Consider the following 3,932-nt stretch of genomic DNA (forward strand, 5'->3'; position numbering starts at 1 on the left):
TCCCATGCCCATGGGATGGGGTCACCCATGCCCAGCGGCAATTGTTCAATGACATTTTGTTCTTTCTTTTCTCCCTTGTAATTTCCTGACTAGCCGCCTCACCCATTATCTTCATGTTCCTGAAATTTGTGATACAAAGAGCAATGTATAGCCAATTAATAGCTATGTTCTTCTTTTCTTTTTTCTTTTTTTTTTTTTTCTTGAGACAGAGTCTCACTCTGTCGCCCAGGCTGGAGTACAGCAGCGCCATCCTCGGCTCACTGCAACTTCCACCTCCCAGGTTCAAGCAGTTCTCCTGTCTCAGCCTCCCGAGTAGCTGGGACCACAGATATGTGCCACCATGCCCGGCTAATTTTTGTATTTTTAGTAGAGACAGGGTTTTACCATGTTGCCAAGACTGCTCTTGAACTCCTGGCCTCTTGTAATCCACCCTCCTCGGCCTCCCAAGGTGCTGGGATTACAGGTGTGGGCCACCGGCGCAGGGCTGCCATTATTTTCATGCAAATTCTTGGTAAACAATTTAGGAACTGCCTCTTTGTTTTTCATTTAAAAACCCACTAGTTGCTATAACCACTGAGTACTAAAACAAACAAACACACAACAACAACAACAACAAAACCCACCTGTAACTTCTGCTAATCAGAGTGTATATTCAGGGCAACTTGAATCTATGCTCCCAAGTTGCAGTTTCCAAACTAGCCCCAGATAAATTCTCTACTTGTATTAATTTGCCTCAGTTTCTTTCTGTAAGTTAACGTATCTGGCACAGATCCACAGGATTCAGAGTGACCGCCACTGACTACCCAGTGTTCCCTCTGAGACTCAGTGCTGGGTGCCAGCCTCACTCTATTGTGTTCCTTTGACTCCAGTAATTTCAAACCCTCTCTTTCATTTAAGAATCAGGGCTTTGGTCTCTGTCTCTACACAGAAGATTCAGGAAAAGAGCTCTGCTGAGGACTTCTGCCTTCTCCAACTCTGCTTCAGGGCAAAAGGATCCAGTTATCGGCTGTCAGGTGCTGGTGGTTTCACCTCTCTTGGCAGAAAATAATGTAGCATTGCTTTTAAAATTGCAGCCCTCCTATTGATTGTAATTCAGACTTGTCTTTGAATTTCTGACTAATTCCCGTTCCAAACTGAAAGATGCATGAAGGTAAGTTGTCTTTGTGGGTTTATTTATTTATTTGAGACGGAGTCTCGCTCTGTCGCCCAGCTGGAGTGTAGTGGTGTGATCTCCACTCACTGCAACCTCCGCCTCCCTGATTCTGGTGATCCTCCTACCTCAGCCTCCCGAGTAGCTGGGATTACAGGCGCCTGCCATCAAACCCGGCTAATTTTTGTATTTTTGATAGAGATGGGGTTTCACCATGTTGGCCAGGCTGGTCTGGAACTCCTGACCTCAGGTGATCTGCCCACTTCCGCCTCCCACAGTGCTGGGATTACAGGTGTGAGACACCACACCTGGCTTTGGCATCCATTTTTAATCTTCTTCTAATACACCCAAACTCCCTGAAAATGTTTAAATTCTCTCTGTGCATTGAGATGCAAGTTTGCTACTCTGTTTTCTCAAAAACTTGACAAGGGCTTCAATAAGCTTTAACTTACTCCATTTAACAAGGCACAATTTAATCCAACTGTCCTTTTAAACTAGTGAGTTTTACCAGTTTTATGGCTAAAACTTTAAGTAAAAGCATTAACATCATTATTTTTGTGTCTGTGTAGGTTTTTTTTGTTTGTTTGTTTTGGATTTTTTGTTTGTTGGTTTTTTGAGACAAAGTCTCACTGTGTCACCCAGGCTGGAGTACCTTGACTTTCTGGGCTCAGGCAGTCCTCCCACCCTAGCCTCCCAAGTAGCTGGGACAATAGATGAGCACCACCCACACCCAGCTGATATTTTTAAAAATTATTTTTGTAGAGATGGGATCTCCTTATGTTGGCCAGGCTAGCCTCAAATTTTGGGCTCAAGTGATCCTCCAGCCCCAGCCTCCCAAAGTGCTGCGATTACAAGCATGAGCCACCCACCTGGCCTGTCTGTATTTTTTATGTATACAGCATACATGTCTTTGTTTGTATACTGTCTACATGGTTCCAAGTTGACTTGTAATAAATGAATGTTCATAAATTAAATACGTAAATCCAAATGCCTTTCTTCTCTCCCTTTCTTTCTTTCTTTCTTTCTTTCTCTTTCTTCCTTCCTTTCTTTCTTTCTTTCTTTCTTTCTTTCTTTCTCACTCTCCTTCCTTCCTTCCTTCTTTCCTTCATTCTTTCTTTCTTTTGTTCTTTCTTTTTTTGAGACAGGGTCTCACTCTGTCACGCAGGCTGGTATGCAGTGATGTGATCATAGCTTGCTGCATCTTTGAACTTCTGGGCTCAAGTGATCCCCTGCTTCAGCCTCCTGAGTAGCTAGGACTACAGGTACATGCCACCATGCCTGGCTACCAAATGCTTTTTAAGTTCATGTGACTTTAGTCATCTTTTATAAATAAAACTAGTTTTAAAATCGTTGGTAATATGAAATTAGGATTTTTCAGAATTGTCGGTATTAAATATAGTTAAGACATTTTTGCCTGGGTCTATGGGTTGGACGGGTTTTACTGTCTTTGCTAGATATTTTAAGGTCATACAGCTGTTGCTTCTGTAATTTTTTTATACTTTCTTGATTTATTTGTGAGCTAAAGCTGTGTGAGTGGCTGCTAGGCTTCCCTGAAGCATTGCATACATCTTACTGTGAGCTTCCGTCTTTGGTTTTGCACCTTTAGAGTCTGGATTCTACACAGGTGGCCATAGTAAGCCCTGAAGACATATGTATGTCTATAGCACCTAAGCCACCAGTGACAGGGCAGAGACAAACCCAATATGTCCTCCCTGGCCCAGCTGTGTTTCCTACCCATGTGGGAAAGGGTCAGATCCTCCAGGCATTGTCTTCACAGCTCCATCCTAAGCTCTACACCTGGCATATAAATTCAGGATCGAGATGGGCTCGCCCTTCATTGCCATCCTTGGTGCCACATGGGTACTTGGGACCCAAGATGACTGAGGAAGACACTGGGGAGGGTACTTGTATATTATAAGTCATCTTATCTTAAATTAATGAATATGTAATCATAAAATGTCTAAGTCATTTCTAAGTAAGTTAAAATACTGAAATATTAAACATAAGCTTATGTACTTGGGCATCTTATTTCTTTCTTTTCTTCTCTTTTTTTTTAGATAGAGTCTTGCTCTGTCACCCAGGCTGGAGTGCAGTGGCACAATCCCAACTCACTGCAACCTCACTTCCCTGGCTGAAGCGATCCTCCCACCTCAGCCTTGCAAGTAGCTGAGACCACAAGCATGCACCACCACGCCCAGCTAATTTTTTGTTTTTTGTAGAGATAAGATTTCACTATGTTGCCCAGGCTGGTCTTGAACTCCTGAGTTCAAGTGATCCATCTGCCTCAGCCTCCCAAAGTGCTAGGATTACAGGCCTGAGCCGCCATGCCTGGGCAGCATCTCATTTTCATATGGTATAGAAAAGCTAAAATACATTTAGATCGGTTAATAAACAAAAAAAATGAAGTAACATCTTCCTAAAAAGTTATGAAATGGTTTTCATCTATAAATAATGATATAAAATAGTTCAAAATAACTTATAGGTTTTTCACTAGAAACTAAGGTTACTAAGAGATAAAATTGTAGTTAATATGTGGAATTAAAACTACTAGTTCTAAGAGAAGCAATTATTTATACAGAACATATCAGAAAAATAGGATGTGTTTTTGGCAAAGAAGATTGTAAAGAAGGCATGACAGTGTGGTTTTTGTTCAAGGAAAAGTAATTTTGTCTGGGATTTTTTTTCTTTTTTTTTTAGGGACAGGATCTTGCTTTGTCACCCAGGCTGGAGTACAGTGGCACCATCAATAGCTCACTACAGCCTCAAACTCCTGGGCTCAAAT

At 41.9% G+C, this 3,932-nt stretch overlaps 1 annotated feature.

Annotated features, from left to right (window-relative positions):
* Window positions 235-956: an enhancer, noted in NCBI's record as "OCT4-NANOG-H3K4me1 hESC enhancer chr15:90525469-90526190 (GRCh37/hg19 assembly coordinates)". NCBI's record gives its function as "activates a minimal SCP1, AML or CMV promoter by ChIP-STARR-seq in primed H9 embryonic stem cells {active_cell/tissue: H9 hESC(primed)}" and the evidence as "EXISTENCE:reporter gene assay evidence [ECO:0000049][PMID:30033119]".

This window comes from Homo sapiens, chromosome 15 (genome assembly GCF_000001405.40).
Source record: "Homo sapiens chromosome 15, GRCh38.p14 Primary Assembly".
Taxonomy (NCBI): domain Eukaryota; kingdom Metazoa; phylum Chordata; class Mammalia; order Primates; family Hominidae; genus Homo; species Homo sapiens.